At 46.5% G+C, this 21,719-nt stretch overlaps 1 protein-coding gene across 14 annotated transcripts in view, besides 1 other annotated feature; it reads left to right on the forward strand.

Moving 5' to 3' along the window:
- PPARG (peroxisome proliferator activated receptor gamma) overlaps positions 1 to 9,659 on the forward strand; it is a 146,977-nt gene extending 137,318 nt beyond the window's left edge. For all 14 annotated transcript variants that reach the window (NM_001354666.3, NM_138712.5, NM_005037.7 and 11 more), the window contains one exon: positions 9,213 to 9,659. In NM_001354666.3, the coding sequence (NP_001341595.2) occupies positions 9,213 to 9,460 (248 nt within the window). In that variant the 3' untranslated portion in view covers positions 9,461 to 9,659. The remainder of the gene's footprint in view (positions 1 to 9,212) is intronic.
- Positions 19,868 to 21,067: an enhancer, noted in NCBI's record as "P300/CBP strongly-dependent group 1 enhancer chr3:12486052-12487251 (GRCh37/hg19 assembly coordinates)". NCBI's record gives its function as "activates an origin of replication core promoter dependent on BRD2, BRD4, P300/CBP, MED14 and CDK7 cofactors, with strong dependence on P300/CBP, by STARR-seq in HCT116 cells {active_cell/tissue: HCT116}" and the evidence as "EXISTENCE:reporter gene assay evidence [ECO:0000049][PMID:35650434]".

The following is a 21,719-nucleotide window of genomic DNA, read 5'->3' on the forward strand; positions in this document are numbered from 1 at the left end:
CTGGAGAAATCTTCGGAGGGCTCACCAGCGTCACAAGTAGGTAGACCAGAAGAGGCAGGCTGGCCCATTGCAAAGCCCTGGAATCAGAGGGACAGGAGTTCCAAATCCCCACTCTCTCTCTTCCTAGATGTGTGCTTGCGGCAATTATTTATCTCTCTGAGCCTTAATTTCCTTATCAGGACCCTGAGCAAACCAAATAACATGATGTGAAGCCTCTGGCACAATGCCTGGGACATGTTCAGCACACAATAAATGCTAATTTTCCCTTTTGCCCTATATGATATGATTTGAAGCAGCGCCACTCAATCCTGCCAGTCACATTGCTGGAAATGCCACCAACAGTCATTCTTAAGATCGCTTATTACAATATAAATACCCCTAGGGGATATCAGCTAATCGCTTTATCAACTATCGCTTTAAGGGGATTAGGTGTGGATTGAGAACAAAACCCAGAAGGAAAGAGATCCTGGAGGAAGGGGAGGGCTTGGAAGTGGGGAGGATTCGGACGTCCTGTGGCCCCCGAAGGAGACGGGGAATGGCAGGTCTGCTGGATTCCCAGCCTTCAGGAATTCCCATGAACTTCTTGGGGACTTCATGTGTTTAGACCATATTTAGAGAGCGTGCATGTGTTTTGAGATCACAGGTTTTTCTGAGAGACATTGGGAAGGAGGACAGCGGGGGAGTGGAGTGGAGAGAAGTCATACCTGGCAGCTTTTAACTTCACTTACTGCCCTTCATGTGCTGTTGCCATTTCCAGAAGTTGAGGGAGTAAGGAAGGGTAGGAGTTCTTGGTATTCCCTTATCTCTTCCTTTCCCTCCCCTTATCCTGCCCAGAGCATCGCAGGGTAGAGCCACCAGACGGATTCAGGGCATGGAGATGGCAGGTTAGTGGTAGACTTGGAAGGGATCGTTCTTCCTATTTCAGCACCACCCTTCTTCCTCTACCTCCCACCCTGCATTTCCAGCCCCAGTCAGATTCCTTCTTGGACAGAGAAGGAGCAGAAATGTACGTACATCACTAGGCTTAAGGGGGGACTGCAGATGGCTCCCCTGGTCCTGACAAAAAGGTGGGGAGCAAACCGCATGGCTGGACGTAAATTGAGTGACCTGGAATGACTAGAACGACAGGGGGCCTCTAACCCCAGGGTGCACAGAGGTAGGGACCCAAGGGCTTTCCGGGGTCGGACAGAAATCTCGGGTTCCATTTTCACTCTGAGAGACCCAGAAATGACAGAGCCCATGCTCAGTTTCCACTGGTGGTGCTGTTGAGTGGAGGGGCTTTGAACATGGCACACAGGAAAGGGTTGCCCACCCTGTCACCAGATGGGCTTGCACTGTTTTGTGGTTTGGGAGTTGCATATTGGAGGTGGGAGTGGAGTGTTGAGATGAGGCAAGTTGAGATGTAATCGCTATTTAATGGGCAGATCAAAGAAAACATTGGCTGGTTTGATTTTTATTATGGTTATCCCGCTCCACCATCCTGGCCCAGTCATATATATTATTGTTATCAGGCATAGATAGGGGAAGCAATTAAATGTGAAACTGTTATTTAAACCGGCAAGTGTCAGAATGTTAACCCACTTCAGAGCGAAGGCTCTACCAGCAACATGTGTGTTCACTGCAGAATGTGCTGGTTACAGATGATCTTTATCTGTTTGTCAAAGCATTTGCAAGATCTCTATTTTATGTCATCCCCTTTCCCTGAAAGCAGCAGCAGTAAACGACATTGCTCCTCAAATCATCCATGGCTCAGACCTCTGATTAATTTAAGCTGGCCCTGCTAGCGTTCTTATAAATCCCCAGCAAGATGCAGGCCCAGGAGTGGAAAGGGGAAAACATCCGGAAAGCAGCGGGGGGCAGGGAGGGGGAAGGCTGAAGGGAAAAGAAAAAGGCTGAAGGGAGCAATAATTGAGGAAGAAAGAATAGGAAAAATGTAGAAAGGACCCAAGAAAATCAGAGAAATGAGAGGAAAAGAAAGGTAAGAAGAAAATGAGGCAAGTTTACAGAGCAGTAATGAAAATAGTAATAGCTAATTTACTGTACAACAGACACTGTGCTAAGCACTTTCCGTATGTCCCTCAGTCCTCTGACCAACACTATGAGTTAAATTACCGCTACAGCTCCAATTGTTAAAGTGAGGAAACTGAAGTATAGAAAGGTTAAGGAACTTGCCCAAGGTTACCTAGCTTGCAAAGTTGTAATTCCAACTGCGTCTCACTCAGCTGGCAGTGTGCACCCTTGGCCACACATTAGAATCACCCAAGAGCTATTAAAAATCCTGAAGGTCATACCCCAGGCAAGTGAATCAGAATCTCTAGGGATGGGTCCCAGGCATTCGTTTGCTTTTTTAGTCTCCCCAGATAATTTTAATATGTAGCCAAAATTGATAATCCCTGCACTAGACCAAGCTCCGATTCAAATTTAAATATTAAGAGGACACATGTATAACTTTGCTGAATAATTTTTTCCTATCGGTAGGATGGTGGGAAGGAATTGCTATAGGCCACACCATGATACTTTGCTGAATTGGATCAGAAAAGTACCCTCAAATTCCCAGCATCATTTCTTCAAGGAAGTAGTGAATTGGGGCACCGTGGGTTTTTTGTTTTGTTATTGTTCTTAAACCACCTTGCCTATGTGCACTCAACTACAGGAACGAGAACTTGCCTGAAACCCCAAACGTGTCTGCATCAGGCATTATTTTTCTTGAGCTCCTGAATTTCTGCTCTAACCAAGAACAACTCAAAAACCTTCAATTTCATAACTGTTGATATGCCACCCACTCCTACTTACACTCCTGACCCCAACCCCATGGAAACTGCCTTTATTCGAACAAACACAAGAATTATAATATGTTCTAAAGTTCCTCTACCTATTTCATTCTCACCATACGCTTATGAAAGAAATGTCATTGTCTTGAAAACTAAGCCTAAACCCAGAAAGATTAGATGATTTGTCCACAGGCACACAGAAACTAAGTGGAAGAGAAACAGGACTCAAGTCTTCAGTTTCCCAATCCACTGCCTCCTAGAACATGCCTGTGAACTGAGGGAGCAGTGCAATAAAGGAAACTTGAGAGGAAGCGCAAAAGGAACTTAAATTGCAAAGTACTGGGTTCCCTAAGTAGCCCTGCCTCCCCTCCAGTTTTCAGCCCACACCTGAACTAAGGTCTTTCATTGTCTGTGGATCAATTTACAGCTGCCCTGCAATCACATTTGTTTTGTTTGTTTGTTTGTTTTGGTTTTGAACGCCCTAGGGACAGTCGGTTTCAGATTAGTCTCTATCAGAGAGCCAATAGGGAAAGATGCAGAAAGCCAGGAGAGCAGCTCCTAGAATAGAGACAAAACCACCTGCATTTTTTCTGCCTCTTCTTCAGGAGACTCCACTGTGGTCATCTGGTTCCCTAATTGAGACACCTCCTGAGAAAATCTGTGCTAGGGAAACACCCAGCCCAGGTGGGCAGATCTCAAGAGGACCAGAACGTTTGAATCTGCTTCAGATAAACCCTCCACTTAACAGTACCAGATCTGGACGAGATGGAAGCTTTGTAGATTTGCCCATAATCCACAGTGCTCTGTAATCAATTCCAGGACCGTGTGGATGGAGACCGGAAAGGTTTCTTTCCCAATTCTTCACAGCCTGGGGAGTAGGGAACTAGTAATTGACTCCAGCCTCCTCGAGTGCTAAGTCCTGGAGTCTGAGTCACACACACTTCCCAAAAGGGCCTTCTAAGCAGCCTACCCCAGCAGAGAGGACCCTTGGCCCTGGCCCTACTCCAGACTCAACTGTAACCTCAGCAAGGTGCAGGGAGAGGATCTCAGGTGGGCCTCCTGGCAACAGTGCCTTTTCAGGCACTAGGCTGTTGGGAATGGAGAGAGAAGAGAAAGGCCCTGGCACTGTCTGGGTATTTGGATGGATTTCTGTGGCACAACTGTGGCACCTGGCTTAGCTCAGTAAAGGACTGAGTGTGCGTGGAGCAGAAAGGGGAAAGAGACTAGTGGGGAGCTGGTGACCAGTTGGAGGGTGGAGGGTAGGGAACAACCCTGGCAGATCCATTTTGCCCTTGACTAGAGCTTAAAGACCAAAGGAAGCGTTCTTGTTTTTAAGTAAGTCAGGTGTTCTAAGTTTAATGTTAATATGCTTTTTCAATTAGATGTTTGAGTATATTTCCCCAGTTGAATTATGTAGAGGGAATTACAAATGAGAATACATCTTACAATTTTTGAATTAGAATCTTTGAGATTATCTATTTAGTCCGGTCTGTTTTGTTTAGACAAGAAAATTGAGCCCATTGATCTTAATCAGTTTGCCCAAGGTCACAGAGCTGGTGAGTGAAAGCTTTAGATGTAGAATATGCAACTTTTCTCTGCTGCCCTCCTTCCCTAAACCATCTTGCCTTAACGGAGGCTCAGTCAGGGGGACAATGGGACTGATCTGTAAATGATCTAACTTGTCATTGCAGAAAATATACTTACTCCGTGGCCACAAAATTTCAGCCCTTCAGCCAAGCTTCATCCATCACATCATAAAGAATAACTTGCCAAAGAGGGGTTTGAAAATCCAAACCAGATCCCTCTCCACTCCTAGAGAGGCCAGTTCCATGACACTGCACCGGAGCCAAGTGTTTCCAGCAAGCCCTGATCAGTTGCATGTTAGTCCTTGTTTGTATGATAAACGGGACCTAGTAGATTAACATCATCTCCTCAGCCCAAGGGCTGACCCCAGTGGTGCTGCTCAAGAGGAAGGAGGAGGCTGGGAGCGGTGGCTCCCGCTTGTCATCCCAGCACTTTGAGGGGCTGAGGAGGGCAAATCTCTTGAGCCCAGCATTCAAGAGCAGCCTGGAAAATGTAGAGATTCTGTCTCTACCAAAAAAAAAAAAAAAAAAAAAGAAGCAGGTGGAGGAAGGAGGAGCTGCAGAAAGGCTCCGGGAGCCAGTGTCTAGTAAGCAGAGGCCTAGCCCAGGCTGAGTGGTCCCAGCCCAGGAGGGCCTCTCTCGGCACCTGTCTTTAGATGCACGTCTGCCTCTGGCCTTTGAGATGCACACATTCATCAAGCAGGAGGATCTGTAGTCATTAAACCAAGGTGCCAGTCTGGGGCCCAGCCTTCAATGAAGCATCAGTGGCTTTTTCATTCCCATAGAGCAACTGCGAGGAAGACCCCATGCTCCCAGGGGCCCAATTCTCCAGGCCAGGACCAGATCATTTGTTCCTTCTCAGAATCTGAGATCTTTTGCTGATGGTTCCAAAATTGAATGCTGAAATCTAAAAAGAAAATTATACTTACTCTGGTCAATGGGATATGTTGGAGACCTGAGAGTGAAAAAATCAAACTGAAGACCAGTTTCCTTCTTTAATGGAAGAAAAGTAAGAAAGTTAACTTAGAAGAATATTTAGAGTTCTGAAAATCCCACTCTGAGACCACTCTGCCATCTCACATTGTTCTCTTGAGCCTTATCTCAATGGATAAAGGTCACTAGAGTTTATTAGACACAGGAAAACATCGTTTACAGACTTCTTCATTGTGTAGGGATTCTGCCTTCAGGCCTGTTCACCAGCCAGGAGAATTGTGCTTTTTGATCCAGGGCTCTTGGCCAGAACAGCCTTCTCGCTCATTAACTCAGTCAACCAAATGCTTCCTGTGTTTCCACTGGTGGTTCAGAACGTAGTCTCTGCCCTCTGATACCTCACGGTCTAACGGGGGAGAAACAAGAAAGTCAGAACTTACAATACAAGATAATAAGGAATAAGAGCAGAGCCTTTGGAACCAGACAGACTTAGATCCAAATGTCAGCTCTGCATTTACTAGCAAGTGGTCTATCTTGGTAAGATGCAACTCTTTTCTCTAAGTCTTAATTTCTCCCTCTGTAAAGTATGACCTCATGGGGTTATTGTGAAGATTAAATGGCATATCGTATATAAGGCCCTTGGCACGATCTTTGGAAAATAATAACCATTCAGTGAATGTAATCTACTAGTATAGTAGCGATTGAGGTGTTTATAGGGTGCTATGAGGGCCCAGAGAAAGGAGATGAGATGAACAGGAGAGAGGAAGGGATACTGTTGAGGAAGGATTTCAGGATGGAATCCCACCACAGGCTGTATTTTGAAGAAATGGTTGAAGTCAATAAGAAGAGTGAAGGGAAGGTGAGAATGTTTCAGGCAGGAAGAATAAAATCTGAATAAGTGCAGAGTCCTGACAGAACATAGGGTGTTTGAGGAACTTGGTATGGAAATAGATTAATATGGCTTAACATGGAGCAAAATGAAACAGAACTGAGACTAGAGGATGACCAGGACCAGGTCATGAAGGACATTAAAGGTGGGTAAAACTCATACCATGAAGGAGAGAAGAGTTACAGTTTTTAAAAGAAAATAAATAGCCTTCAGGAGCTCAAATTTGAAATCAATACGAGATAGATGATCAAGTGAATGTTCTGTCTTCTTGATGAGCCTGACTGAGAAAACCTTATAATCTAACCCAAGGCAACAAACTGAGAAATTAGAAAATAAAACTTAGAGATTAGAAAACAAAAACTGAAACCCAAACTTTTTACTTGGAAATTTAAAAACATGCTTCTATATAACTCTTAGGTTAAAAATGAAATCAAAATTGTAAGACAAGCTGTTTAGAAAAGAACTATGAGAGTACCGTTTATCAAAGCCCATGGGATGAAACCAAAGTGGCACTAAGAAGAAAATGTGGAGGCTTCAATGCATTTATTAGAATACAAAGAATACCAAATCAAATGAATTAAGCATTCAACTCAAGAAAACTAGAAAAAGAGAAGAAAGTAAACCTAAAGAAAGTTTTAAAAAGGAATTCAATAAATTAAAAACAAAACACACAATTTTTAAAAACAGACTTGATTAATAAAACCAAAAGCTATGTCTTTTTTAAAAAAGCAAAAAATAGATAAACCTTTGACAAATCAGATTTTTTTAATGAGAGAATGCACAAATAAAGAGCTCTAAGAGCTGGGCATGGTGACTCATGCCTATATTCCCAGCACTTTGGGAGGCTGAGGCAGGAGGATTGGTTGAGGCCAGGAGTTTAAGACCAGCCTGGGCTACGTAGCAAGACCCCACCTCTACAAAAAATTTCGAAATTAGTTGGGTGTGGCGGCTCATGCCTATAGTCCCAGCTACTTGGGAGGCTAAAGCAGGAGGATCACCTGAACCCAGGAGTTGGAGGCTGCAGTGAGCCATGATCATGCCACTGCACTGGGCAACAGATTAAGACTCTGTCACAAAAAAAAAAGCGTTAAGTTAAGGAGCGTGAATAAAAATAATACATTTCATATTCTAAGACAATATCATCTACAACTTTATTCCAATATAAATTACTAAAACTTTACCATATAAGTAGTAGAAAGCCTGAATAGATAAAAGCTATGGAAGAAAAATTAAAGATAGTGATAGATTTATCACCAAGCTCAGATGGTTCTGCAAACAAATTCTAAGAAACCGTCAGGGAACAGATCATTACTGCGTTGACACAGAAGGCAAACCTCTCAACTTGGTGTATAAGGCTAGTTAACATTGTTACTAAAACAGGCAAAGAATGGCCCCCAAAATAACTCTAAACCAGTATCACCTACAAATACAAAAACTCTATATAAAATATTAGCAAGTGAGTACAAGAGTATAAGGAACTCTATTAATGTAATTCACTGTGCTAGGTTAAGATAAAACCATAACTCTTCAGATATCATAGCTCTTTAGATAGAAAAATGTAAAAGTATTTGATAAAAATTCAACAACATTCCTGACTAAAACAAATTAAAATTGTAAAACCCCTGGAAAGCCAGGAGTAAAACATGTTCTCCATAATCTATAGCAAACATCATAGTTGCTGATAAACCATTAGAAGCATTTCCTTCAAAGTTAGGAATAAAACAAGAATTGCTACTATTGCTACTATTATTTAATCCCATATTGGAGGTTTTAGCCAACACACTATGGCAAGAAGAGGAAATGAGAAAGGTTAATGCTGCAAAAGAAGAAATAAATAAAGCTACCATTGCTGATATAATTATCTATCCAAAAAAAGTAGAAATCCATGATTAAAAGCTATTTGAACTGATAAAAGTTCAGAAAATTGGAATTGTTTCAATATACTAAAATCAATTAGTTTTCTGCACATCAGTGGGGATATATTAGATGTAATGAAAATGAAGGGTCCATTCACAATAGAAGCTATAAAGTATTTGAGAATAAATCTAACAAGATCTACATAAAGAAAAAAGTAAACTGCTTAAAAGTAATTTAAGTTCACCATTTGCAAATTGAACTAAAGAAAAATCTAAAGAAGAACTAGTGAAAATTGCTTGCAATCTTACCACTGAAAAGAAACCTCTGTTAAAATGTATCAGTATTTTAAAACTGTGTTTTGTCCTTTGGAAATATGCCATATTAAGCAAACATAGCATAAGCAAATTAAGCAAAAAGACAAACCTTTTTTTAAAAGCATATTTGTGAAAAAAGCATATTTGAAGCTATGATAAGAAACTGAGTAGAAGCTATAAAACGTAGATTCATCAGGAAGGAGCAGAAGTTGAAAAGGAGATTTCTGGCTGGGCACAGTGGCTCATGCCTGTAATCCCAGCACTTTGGGAGGCCAAGGCGGGTGGATCACTTGAGGTCAGGAGTTTGAGACAAGCCTGGCCAACATGGTGAAACCCTATCTCTACTAAAAATACAAAAATTAGAAAGGCGTGGTGGTGAGCACCTATCATCCCAGCTACTCAGGAGGCTGAGGCAGGAGAATAGCTTGATCCCGGGAGGCATAGGTTGTAGTGAGCCGACGTCATGCCACTGCACTCCAGCCTGGATGACAGAGCAAGACTCCATCTCAAAAAAAAAAAAAAAGAAAAGAAAAGAAAAGGAGATTTCTGAGTAGAAACACGTTAGCAGAGGAAACTTCATTTGGGGAACAGGATTGTTTTGATGCCATGCTCCCTCAGCTGACCACACAGATTACATCCTGGCCAGAAAAAGGCCCTGCAAAGAGCTCTGATCATTTTGGTTCTGATTCCATCCTTAGTTCTTACCCATTATCTGCTTACCCTTCCTCCCCACCTATTTAAGATACAAAGCAAAACAAACCAAAAATACAGATGAGTTGCTTGGTAGAGCTGCCTAGGCCTCCAAGGCGGGGCCCAGAGGATTTTTTGACTGAACCCCCTGTTGTGTTTTCCATATGTGCTTCCCCAGACCGCCCAGGTTTGCTGAATGTGAAGCCCATTGAAGACATTCAAGACAACCTGCTACAAGCCCTGGAGCTCCAGCTGAAGCTGAACCACCCTGAGTCCTCACAGCTGTTTGCCAAGCTGCTCCAGAAAATGACAGACCTCAGACAGATTGTCACGGAACACGTGCAGCTACTGCAGGTGATCAAGAAGACGGAGACAGACATGAGTCTTCACCCGCTCCTGCAGGAGATCTACAAGGACTTGTACTAGCAGAGAGTCCTGAGCCACTGCCAACATTTCCCTTCTTCCAGTTGCACTATTCTGAGGGAAAATCTGACACCTAAGAAATTTACTGTGAAAAAGCATTTTAAAAAGAAAAGGTTTTAGAATATGATCTATTTTATGCATATTGTTTATAAAGACACATTTACAATTTACTTTTAATATTAAAAATTACCATATTATGAAATTGCTGATAGTATTTGAAGACTGAGTCTTGTGTGTTTCCCACCCTAGCCCCCAGGCTTTCTTTTTTACCCCTTTTCCTTCTCCCCTCCCTCCCTCCATCCCTCTCACTCTTCCTCCCTCCCTTCCCTCCTTTCCTTCTTCCTTTATTTTTCTTTTCTTTCTTAGACATTTTAAAATATGTGAGTGGAACTGCTGATACACTTTCATTCTCAGTAAATTAATTTTTTACTCAATTTACAACTTTTCGGAACTCTGCATCTGCTTTAACAATCAGAACTAAGAAGGGAAGGGGAACTTCAGAATCAGAAACTGCTCAGAGCATGTGTTTTGTAGCCTGGATGTGCTGATATGCAGCATATCCCTGGGATTACCCAGAATTCAGTCTTCTTCCACAATCCTAACCGAGATTTTCACGCACCACCAGCAGCCTACTCGTATACTACCTACTAATCAATGCCACTGCGCACCCACAGAGCCAGTGGCCAGCAACTGAGCACTGCTAGAAACTCTGGGGAACACAGAACTTTTTTAAGATTTGGTATCTGCGCCAGGCATGGTGTCTCAAGCCTTTAATCCACGCACGTTAGGAGGCCAAGGTGGATGGATCGATTGAGCTGGTCTCTTGTTCGAGACCCTGTCTCCACAACAGTTTTAAATATTAGCCATGTGTGGTGGCACACACCTGTAGTCCCAGCTACTCGCAGGCTGAGGCGGGAGGATTGCTTGAGCCTGGGAGTTGAGGCTGCAGTGAGCTGTGATGATGCCACTGTATTCCAGCCTGGGCCACAGAGTGAGACCCTGTCTCTAAAAAAAGATAAAAAAGATTTGACACCTGCCAAAAAGAATTTACCGATTATAAACTGAGGAGAAAAGATTAATCTTTTTTCATACAGATTCAAATACGCAGATGAAATCACATGCCAGGTGAATGGTAAGAGTTTGTAGGAAGTAAGATGAGTGAAGATTGGAATCCCAGAGACTGAATCTGTGGATTTGCTGAAGAGGGCCTCAGGGAAGTGTTAGACTGGAATAGGTAGAGAGGAGGAGAAAAGACATTCCAGAGAAGCAAAATAACAGGAACACAATGAAAGAAAAAAAAAACTGAGGGAGAAGAGCTACTTTCTGTTTTCTCCTTCTGCAAGGCAGTTTTGCTGTGATTATTCCTGTCCTCCTCCTTGGGACCACTCTGTCCAGAGATCTCTTTTCTGAACTGAGAGGCTAACTATCCGCATCATTAATGGAATGCTTGCCTCCCAAGCAGATAGATTCTAAGTTCCCTGAAGGCGTGACAATCTATTCATTCTTGGCACAGTGAATAGATTCGTTGATTCAATCCACCAAATTCACTTGCATTGGCTACTCATGAACTCATCATACTATGTCTTTGAAGAATGCCTTACGGGGTGTCTAAGGGAGAGAATAGAGTCATGGGTTCTCCATTTCTGTTTCTGACTGGGCCAATAAAGCCCCTTCCTCATCCCTCTTTTCCACTTACCACTAGGGACAGAAATTAAAAACCATGGCTTCAGGCTACTAAAAGCCTAAACCAAACCAAATCAAACCAAACAACAACAACAAAATAAGGCAGGTTGGACAAGCTTACGAGTGTAACCAAACTATCTGGAGGTGTCTGTTGTGCGGGACGCTTATTTCCACTGACCTAAATTTCCCTGCCACTTCTCCCTTAATTTATCTTGCCTTAGGATATTTACACTCAGGAGACATAACTGCAGACTTGAGGTTTTCAAGCCAAAATATCAAGAAAGACCTGTTCATCTTTTGCTTAAAAATAACTATATCTCCAAAGAATCAGGTTATAGAAGTGAGTACTGACCCCAGCCCTAAAAATGTAGGATTCCTAACCCTTCAGGAGAGACCTTTCTGAGCTCAAACCTTTAGGATGACAGATAGACAAAGACTGAAGCCATTGTCTAAGTAACACCAAAACATTTGGAAGGAAAGTGACAAATTCAGTCAGTCATATGGCTCTTTTTTTTTCTTCCTTGATGCCAAACATCAGGATATTTTGAAACTTATTTTCAAACACCCAGATGACTGGCTAGAGTCTTCTGTGTAGAGAGCTGATGGTCAGGGATCTCTTGGAAGAGAGAATGTACAGGCAGTAGACAAGATAGAGTCCACTTCTGAGGCGCTCCCTTATTTACAAGCTTTCTTGAACAAAAAGTCTTTCAGCCCCGCTGCCTGGTCTCAGTTCCCACCAGCGCTCCGCAGCCCATCCAAGCCTTTCCACATTATCGGAGCTGTTGCTGCCAATGGAAGGAGGAAGAGAAACGCTCTCAGCTCTCTGGCACTGATGGTTAGCATTAAATGGCTTTTAAATCCTGGCAGCTTTCAAATTCCCATCTCTGACTTTTTCCCTGTGGCTTGGAAGATCATTTGCTAAATATTTGACAACACTTTATATTCAGCCTCCAAAGCTCCTGCTCCTTTCTCCCTCTTTCTCTCCCCCAGGATGAATCATAAGTTAACGAATCTGTCATCAGTTATTCATAGTACTTTCTCTGGACACAAACACATGTAGGGATGTGTGTTAATAAAAATAGGAAGAAAAGTAACTTTGGTCAAGAGTCAAGAAAGGGTTTCCAGGCTCCCACAAGAGCCCTCCCCCAGCACCTCCCTGGAACGGGCTCCCTTTTCCTTCCTCCCGCTGTGTGTGGAGCCCAGGAACGAAGAGGGGACACACAGAAGAAACAAAGCTGCACACCCTGTTTCTCCAGCCGCCATAAGAAATTAGGCTGGCCTGAGTTTCTGGCTCCTTTTTTACAATGTGGGTGCAGAGCAAGGAGCCTAGGAGGCTCAGGGTCGGAAGAGGTGGCAGCACTAGCTGATGTCACATAGCGAATTTCCAACTAGAGGAAGCCAGAGGGGCAGCTTCACCACCTCCACTGAGGGGCAAAGAGGGAAGGGGACAGAGGCATCTGTGGCGGGCTTTCTTGGTGGCTTCTGGACTCCAGTGACTTTTTCTTGGCTCCCTCGAGGCTAAAAAGCAGGTATTTTCCTGGACAGGTCCTCCTTGCTTGACATCACCCGCTGACCGTGTGGTGCTGATGGAAAGAGCTGGGTGAGAGAGGGGCTGGATGTTGGCCTCTGGATACCCATTCCCTTGGAAATACCTAGTGGAGATGGGCGGGTGCGGGGCTCCTAATTCTACATCCTGAGAGAAAGAACCAAAGCTCATTTCCACCATGCCCATCCCCATTGCTTTCTGGTCCCCCTTTTCCTACTCATTCACTCCAAGAGTTTGGGTTATGAGACAGGAGGACCAAGATGCCTGATGGTCACTAGGTGGCCCCCTCCCTACCTTCTGCTCACCCCCTCATCCTGGTTCTTGACCTCAGCCCCTGGCTGTCTCTGCATCATGAATGTTGTTATTTGCACGTCTCCACCCTGACCGTGGGATTGCACCTGGTACATCCTCCATTTAACACCAACTGAAAAGAAATAGCAGGGTTTTAAGAATTCAAAAGATCATACAATGTCCCAGAGCCCCACCGCATTCATTAAACACATAATCCATACTCCAGTCATGTCTAGCAGGTTATGATGGTGACCGCGACTAGGCCCTGCTCTCAAGGGGGGCACAGTCTGTGGATGAGTAGTCACAGCTCAGCAGACGCAACAAGTGCCTAGAGAGGTGAAAGGATTTGCAGAGCGTGTGCATAGGCCCAAGAGTGTGAAATTCTCCAAGCGTTCAGAAAACGGCCAGGTGAGGGGCGTGGCCCACAGCTCCCAGGCTAAAATGTGGATGTGGCCAGTCAGCGGCAAATTGTGGGAGCCTTGTCCTCCCTGACGAGGAGCTCTCTCGGGCTGTGTTGGTAGCAACTGGGATCCGGGGATGCTGCCAGGCAGAAGAGAGACATGGTCAAATTTGCAATTTGGAAAGTCAGCGCCCCGAAAGTCAACACTCCCCAAAGTAGAAATTCTCTCTACAATGCTCCTGATGGTTGCCCAACCCACAGACAACTACTGAAGAGACAAGAAGCTCTCTCCCCTCTAAGGCCCTGGGTGATTTCCACCCCGCAGGCCTGGCTCTGCCCCTGGGCTCACACTTACCACATGCTTGCTCCTGCACCCTGGGGGCTCCAGCTCACCTCCTTCCCTTTCATCTGGTCGCAATATCTTGCCTCAATCATAAACAGCTTAAGGACACTGGCCCTATCCCCTGTTGATATCCATTCCCTACCGTTGCTCATATTGCCCCAAGCTACAAAGGCCCTCTGCTTCCAGGAGCTTCGTTTCACCTTCTTAATCTAATTCATGGAGATCTCATGGTCATTTTTATCCACATATGTCAAAGCCTGCCTGTCCCATATCTCATGTCCAGAAAAGGCCTGCATTGGTCATAGACCTCAAGAAAATTAGAGGCTGGGCACGGCGGCTCATGCCTGTAATCCCAGCACTTTGGGAGGCTGAGGCGGGCAGATCACCTGAGGTCAGAAGTTCAAGACTAGCCTGGCTAATATGGTGAAACCTCGTCTCTACTAAAAATACAAAAATTAGCTGGGCATGGTGGCGTGTGCCTGTAGTCCCAGCTACTCAGGAGGCTGAGGCAGAAGAATTGCTTGAACCCAGGAGGCAGAGTTTGCAGTGAGCCGAGATCGCACCACTGCACTCCAGCCTGGGCAAAAGAGTGAGACTCTGTCTCCAAAAATAAAAATTAAAAAAAAGCATATTAAAAACAAAAGAGATTATTATATAAGACACTTAGAACTGTGTGTAGCACACAGTATGTGTTCAATAAATAGCAACTATTATTGGAGACGGCACCCTGGGGTGGAATGCAGAGTTACGCTGATTTGGGTTAAAAGTCTAACTTCACAGCTATGGTTCTAGGTCCATATGGCTTTGGCCAATCTCTTAATCTTTCTAGGCCTTAATTGCCCTCATATGTAAAATGAGATAATATCCACCTTAGAGGGCTGTTATGAGGCTTAAATGTAATAATGGTTGTAAAACACTTCACACAGGTTCCCGGTACATCCAAACCAGTCGGTAGTGTTGGCTGCGGGTAACGTTATTGCCGCGGCTGTTAAAGTGCCCCACCTTTAAGGAGGCATTCTGGGCCCACGGGACAGGTCTTCCTGTGCAAGTGTTCTGGACCTCACCTGAGGAGCCTGGAAACTCAAAGCCGGGATTGAATTTGGCACTTGGCAGTAGAGTAAAAATACATTCTCTCAAAAGATTTTGCCTCCAATCTATAAGGATTAGGAGAAAAAAACAGTATTTGAAAGACAACTGCTGTGTTCTGATTTAGAACACATGCTCAGGATGAGGCTACAAAAACATTCTCTCCCCAAGTAGTGGGACTTTTCTCTTGTGACTTACACTCCTAATTTTAGCCTAATATTACATAGTTGGAATTTCCAGAGGGGTTATAAAGAATAAGAAAATTGCTAATTTGAGTCTGTAGGGAGTGGGTTGGGATATTTTCATCCCCTCCGGAGCTGTGTAAATATGTTCCAGGCCAAAAGTTCCCAGGAGAGTGTCATTCCTGGGGTCTATTTAGTGCCACGGGCTTGACTCAAGGAGGATCCTAGTGGCTTCCCGCAAGAGTTGGAAAATTGTGATCCCCTGGCCATTTTTCCACAATACTGGAAGCCGGAAAGTGTAGGTTAGAGCCCCCATTGTCCGTTTGAGACTTAGCACTGCCATTTTCTATGTATGTGGCCTTGGGTAGGTCACTTTCCTCTCTGGGGACATCATACCTGGCCTGTAGAACTATCTCAGCAAATTACATCTAATTCCTTCATGATGAATGGGCCTCAGTTTCCCTAGCCATAAAATGGGAATAGCAGCACCTACCCTGCATGTTTTATAGAGTAAATGAAAAAAAGCAGGGCAAGCCTGATCACTACTCTTTACAGATAAGAAAGGCCCATAGAGGTGAAGGAGCTAGGCCAGAAAAATGGAGAGGCAGGGCTGAGGCTGGACCTCAGGCTTCCAGAGGCCCACCCCTGCTAGGGCTCTTTCTTGGTATGCTGTGCTGTCTCCAGAATAACCAAAGACAGTGTTGCCTGGTTGGCAGAGCAAAAGCGTTAGGGCAGGAAAGACTAAAGTTTGACTTTGGTTCTGCCGCATACTATCTGTGCAACCTTAGGTAAGTTGCTTCCTGTCTCTGGGCCTCAGTTTCTTCATCTAGTTGGCGAAGTCCCCAATTCCTATCTGATAGAGTTGTTGTGAGAATGAGAGGTCATAAGTGGATGAAGTGCTTAAGTCCCATAAACTATTAAAATCTTCAAAAGACGAGTACCTCCAACCTCACAGGATTTGCTAGGAGCTCATCCTGGCCAGGGGACATTGGTAACCAGCATCCACCACCAGAGAAGAAATCATGAGACTCTGCCCATGAGGACCTGTCCAGTGTTGCCTGGGTCTGATAGGGGTTTGCAGTGGGACTTGGGAAGTCACTTTCTCAGAGCCTCAGTTTCCCCATCTCCACAGAGAGCTGGTCTGCCCTTCTAGCTCTGATATCCCAAGGCCTTGGGGGCCTCCAGGGGAGGCTGGCAGGAAGAAAGAGCCCTCTCTGGCTGACCCTCGGAGGCCTGTGTTCTCTGCTGCCTGTGCTTGCATTCAGCCCTCCTAGCGACCTAGGCCTGGACCAGGCAACAGCCAGCACTTATTAAAGGCCTGGGGCTGGTCCAGCCACCTCCAAGGGGAGGGGAGGGACACCGGATGGATGGCTGGTTCCCACCCAAAGCCAAGCTGCTCAGAGAGGGGCGTTGTGCTGAGTCAGCGGGTTGGCAGCTCCTGGCCCGGGGTCTCTGGCCGCCTGAGCCTGCCAGATGGGCTGGAGCCAGGAAGGCCTCCGAGGAGCCGGCGTGTTATCGATGATGCTGCCGCTGCTGCCACAGCAGTGGGAAACGTGCCCTGGAAAAGCCTCTCCCCAGCCAGGCCTCCCAGGGCTGCAGGGTGGGGGACGGTTGCTGGGGAAGGAGGAGTTTTAGGAGTTGCCTCCTACTGTCAAGATTCTAGCCAGGGCTGCCCCCCTCGTGTCCCCTGTCTCCCCACTCTGTCACCTCACGATAGCAAGTATTCTCCAGCACCAAGTACAAGCTTTACTTATAAACTGCCCTCTGTCTGCTGAATCCTTCCACAAGCCCGGTGAGGTGGTTTATGGGTCAGGATCCCAGCAGGGGGAAATGGCACACTCAAAAGAGACCATTGAGGAGCGTGTCATGCAGAGACTAGATTCAAAGTCGTGGGAGGGTTAAATGAAGGGAAACCAGGAAAGGATAGTGAAACATGCCAAGGCCGGCCTCCGCAGAAAGCCTTTACCCCCCACCCGCCCAGCTCTAAAGGACAAGGGAAGAAAAGGTGGCACAACCTCCAGAGGGCTGCAGGCAGAGAAGAGGCTCCCCTCAGGAGTCGCACCCCTAACACCAAGGAATGCAACCACTGGTCACTCCAGCATGGCCAAGAGGAGTCCTTTTCTCCTCTCAACCTCCTGCCAAAGTCTCCCATTGGCCAAGTCCAGCTGGAAGCCAGAGAGCAAAAGAGCCAATGGATACCATGCGTGCGATTCAGCCTCCTGGAGCACACAGCCTGGTAGAGAAGAGTGGAGGGGGCATCTGAGGGGCAAGGAGAATATTCCGCACAGGTGGACAGTATTCTCAAGCCCATGATACTCAAAGGGAAAGAGAGAAACTGAACTCTGAGGTCACAGAGCCATAACTCCATTCTAGGATTCCAACTTAGGTCCTCCTAGCCCCAGAGCCATGGTCTTTCCATTACATGAGACCTGCTGCAAGAGAGGACCTAGGAACCACGGCAGAAGGAAAGGGAGCTTGACTCATTCTGCATCTCCTTACGTCCCTAGCCAGGGTGGGTGCTTGCAGCTGGGAACCCGGTGCGACCCTATGGGGTGCTTCCTGCATGTTTCCATCATGTTCCCTGGAGATGTGAGGAGTGTAGTCTAATGCAGCCCACGCAGGTTTTCCTCTGAAAGTTAACATGAGCTTTGTCATTTACTCCTATATATGTAAATACCTTATATATAGATATTATATATATTTGTAACTTTAAAATTAATGTATAAAGTATCATTTAGAAGTTAAATGACTTCATTTATTTCTACCTACCCCAAAACTTTGAGAAGAAAAAGAGTCCCCAGCATGGAGCACTACATCTTTCCTATGGCTTCGGGTGCCCCTAAGAGAGGGCTGTGTACCCCACTTTGAGAGGCACAGACCCTCCTGTCCTTCAGGGAGAGAAGTTCCTTGCCCAGCGTCTCCTGGGTAATAGTCAGACTTTGAGTCCCGTGACCCTGCTTTTTGCACGGTGGAGACAAAGGAAATCTGGCCAAAATGGAGCCCAGGAGACAGCCTGAAAGGGGAGAAAAGGTCACTCATGGTCAGCCTGAGAGGAGGGAAGAGGAAAAGATTTGAGCTCCGTGTCAGCAAATGCTCACTGACATTCTCTGTCCCCAGCTGTCCCCGTGCTCTGGGGATACATAGATAAGCCTGGCATGACTTGGGTCACCAAAGAACTCACTCTCATGGAAGAGATAAACACAAACGCTGGCAACGCCAAGACACCCGACAGGTGCCAGGAGTGGAATGGCTCGGAGGCAGGCAGGCGGGTTCAAATCCCCCACGCAGCCATTTCTTAGCTGTATCACCGTAGGCAAGCCATGTAACTGTCTAGGTTTCCTCTTTTATAATTGGGCAAGCTCATACCTACTTCCCAAAGTTACCGTTAAGGAATGAGATAGATGAAGTATGAGAGCACTTAGCACGTAACCCAATGCCACAAATGCCGGGACAGAGGGTTGTGCACGTCACGACGAAAGAGGACAGCCATGTTTCTCCAGCCCCACATTGCACTTATGATTCGACGTCGAAAGAATTTATTTTAAATTTCCCAGATAACCTGAGCTCTGTGGTTTCTGTTGCTATGGAAGTGGGGAAGAGGTTTCACTCTGCCCCGGGGAGGTAAAGGGAAGGCTTCACAGTGGAGGTGACATTTGAGATGAGTGGGAGGATTTATAAGAGTGGCCCAGGCAGACAAGGAAGAAACAGCTGGCAAAGGGCTCATGCACAAAAGCACGTGGCATGTTGGGAAGTATAAATATTGAGATGTGGCTGGGATATGAGGGTGCTGGGGGAGGAGGAATGGCTGGAACACTAGAATAGAATCAAGGCTTTTTTAATATAGGTCGGGACTTAAACTGATGGACGGAGTGATTTCTACTTTATCCAGGGAGCATGGAAAGCCTTGGAAGGTTTTAAGCAGGGAAGTTGCAAATCAGATATTCCCTCTGGTGATCCCTTCATCAGCCGAGGAGATAGGACTTGACTGGAGGGTGGGAGACCACGAGGAGGCTGTGACCATCATACAGATAAGAGGTGGCAGTGGCATGGTGAGGGAATGGCACTGGCATTGGGGTCGGAAGGAGTAGACAGATTTGGGAAACAGTCCAGGATCTACTTAACATGGAGGTGAGGGAGGGGGAACTCTCAAGGTGATACTCAGGTGACATGGATTGTGGGACAGGGACATGCTCTTTATTGGACTAGGGGGCTTGTTGGAGAGAACATTCATAAGTTCTGCTTCAGAAATCCTGAGGGTGAGGTATCTGTGGGGCACCCAGGCGGGGGTGTCTCGTTGGCTGTTTGATCTATGGGTGTCTGGAGCTTAGAGGTGCAGGCAGGCTGGGGAAGAAGGTGACCAGGGTTACAGAACAGCCACAGTAAAGGAGGCCAACATGTGTTCCTGCTGGAGCTCCCTGTAGGACCGTAGGTCAATCATCTTGCCCCGCAAACCCCATTTTCCCACTGGGCTCAGGAGGTCTGAATGTCTGCGTTGTCTTTGTATCCACTGGCTCCCTAAAGATGTACAGAGCGCCTTCTGCATGCCGGGGGCTGCTGGAGAAATGGGATTCCCATTTAACTGCCCGTCATCTCATTTCTCCAGCACAGTGACCATCTGAGAGAAATAGTATTGTTCCATTTCACAGGTGGGTAAACTGAGGCCATTAAGTGACAGAACTGGGAGTTCTTCTAAATTCAAATACGGTGACTGTCCTTCAAATTGGCAGAACCAAAGACCTCTGGGAATTGAAGGTTAGGGGCCTCCATAAATGGGCCTCCCCCTCCCCTGTGGCTGTTTATGCTGCCCCAGAGTGGGTATTTCTTCTACTCTGTCTCCACACACAGACGCGCACACCGTCCAAGAGGCATGCCTTGCTGACTCCTTCACAGGACTTTATTCTCTCCGGTAACTCAAAGGAAAGGTTCCCTGAGTGCCTATCTCGCCTCTGGGAGAGAGAGTTTTATTATCAGGGCAGCAGTGGCCCAGACGGCAGGGCCCCACAGGGCAGAGTCCTTTCACTCTTCAGATTCCTTCTCCCCGGGCTGCTGCCACCGCCCCCTCCTGCCCTGATCTGCATCCCTGGACCCCAGCCAGCGCCAAAACAGCGCTGAAAGTCAGCCCCGGCTCAGAAGCCCTGCCCGTTCTTCCTTCCCACCCCCATGTTTTCAAGCATGAAGCCTTGGGGCCTCCGTTTTCGCATCAATCAGATGGAGGTGATCCTTATTTCTACAGACCTAACAGGGCCATATGGAGGATTAGATGAGATAATGGAAGGAGAAAGTGCTTCGCAAACACCACAGACTAGCACTCCTGGGGCCGCCGTGTTATTAGTACTGTTACCTGACCTGGTGTCTCTGTACCCGCGGCTCCTGAGTCAGTCCTCAGGGCAGGTACAATTCCAGCTCCAAGGGAATGAGGTTTTCTCCCTGGAGCTATTGGAGGTCCCCCAGCAAACTTTCTGCCTGGTTTTTACAAGCTTTGTGAGAGGGTTTGTGCTGTGACTAACACCCGATCCTCTGACTCCCTTGGTCACCACTACCTGCTGGGCAGGAAGTCAGCAGGACTCGACCCCCCTTAATCACTGCCACCTTCCCATGACCCGCCTCAATCACGTCTCTTTACAGTTGGGCAGAGCCGGCTGGGCCTCCTCAAACTTCCATATCTGCACCGGGAGATCACTGATAGGGCTAATGGCATTTGCTTGCCTCCACACCCTGGGCCCAGTGCTCCAGGAGTCACGCAATCCCACAGGCCCAGGGCGGAAACTGTTCCCACAGCAGCAAGGCCCTCCGGCCTGGGGAGCCTCCCCGCCCCATAAAATATATGAAAAGAGCCTTTCTTCATGGCCACCTGGCCAGCCAGCCTCAAAGCCACAGGAAGTCCCCTCTCCTCCCCATCACTGCCCACCTCCATCCCTCCTGCCCTCACCCTACCACCCACCTCTGTGCACTCTCTCTCTCTCTCGCTGTCTCTCTCTCTCTGCGTTTGGGCTCCCAGGGATCTCCAGACCCCTAATTTCTCCTGCCAGGCATGAAAACTTTGCTAATTTGACAGCCCTCCATTGAATCACATATTCAGTCATTTGTTCATTCATTTGTTCAGTACTCACCAGGTGTCACCTCTGAGACAGGCCCTATTGTTGAATGCTGGGGACATAAAGATGAGTGAGACAATCCCTGACATCCAGCAGTGTGTGGGTTGGGATTGGGATGGAGAAACTGGAGGTAGGGACCACTGACGAGGCTGCTGCAGCAGCTCCAATGCAGGAGGCTGGCCCGTGTCCCTCGGCCTTACCACCTGGGTGCACACTGGCCCGACTTCTGGCCGCCAGCCCCTGTGGTTCCTTGCCTGAGCCCTTTCTAGCCACAGAAGTGTGCTTTGCTGTTCCATGCAGTCGACTAGATTTGCCAGGGTCTCAGTGCTCCCCAGGAGTGCTCTTGACTGAGGACTGATGATTAATTTAGTTGGGGCATATAGACCCCTGCTCCCTCACATCTCAGGTAGGATATCTGTTCTGCACTGACTCCCAGAGTTTCCCCAGTGGGATTCAGAGCCACTCTCCCACAGTGCCAACCTGCCTGAAAACAACTTTTCTGGCTGCCTTCTCTTCCAGGTCTCATTTCCTCACTCACTGCCTTACCCGTATTCTCTTATCTTCCAAATAAACTACTTGCACTCAAATCCTTTCTCAGGGTCTGCTTGTTGGAGGAGGCCAAACTAAGTAGACAGC

Source organism: Homo sapiens, chromosome 3 (genome assembly GCF_000001405.40).
Source record: "Homo sapiens chromosome 3, GRCh38.p14 Primary Assembly".
NCBI classification, from domain to species: domain Eukaryota; kingdom Metazoa; phylum Chordata; class Mammalia; order Primates; family Hominidae; genus Homo; species Homo sapiens.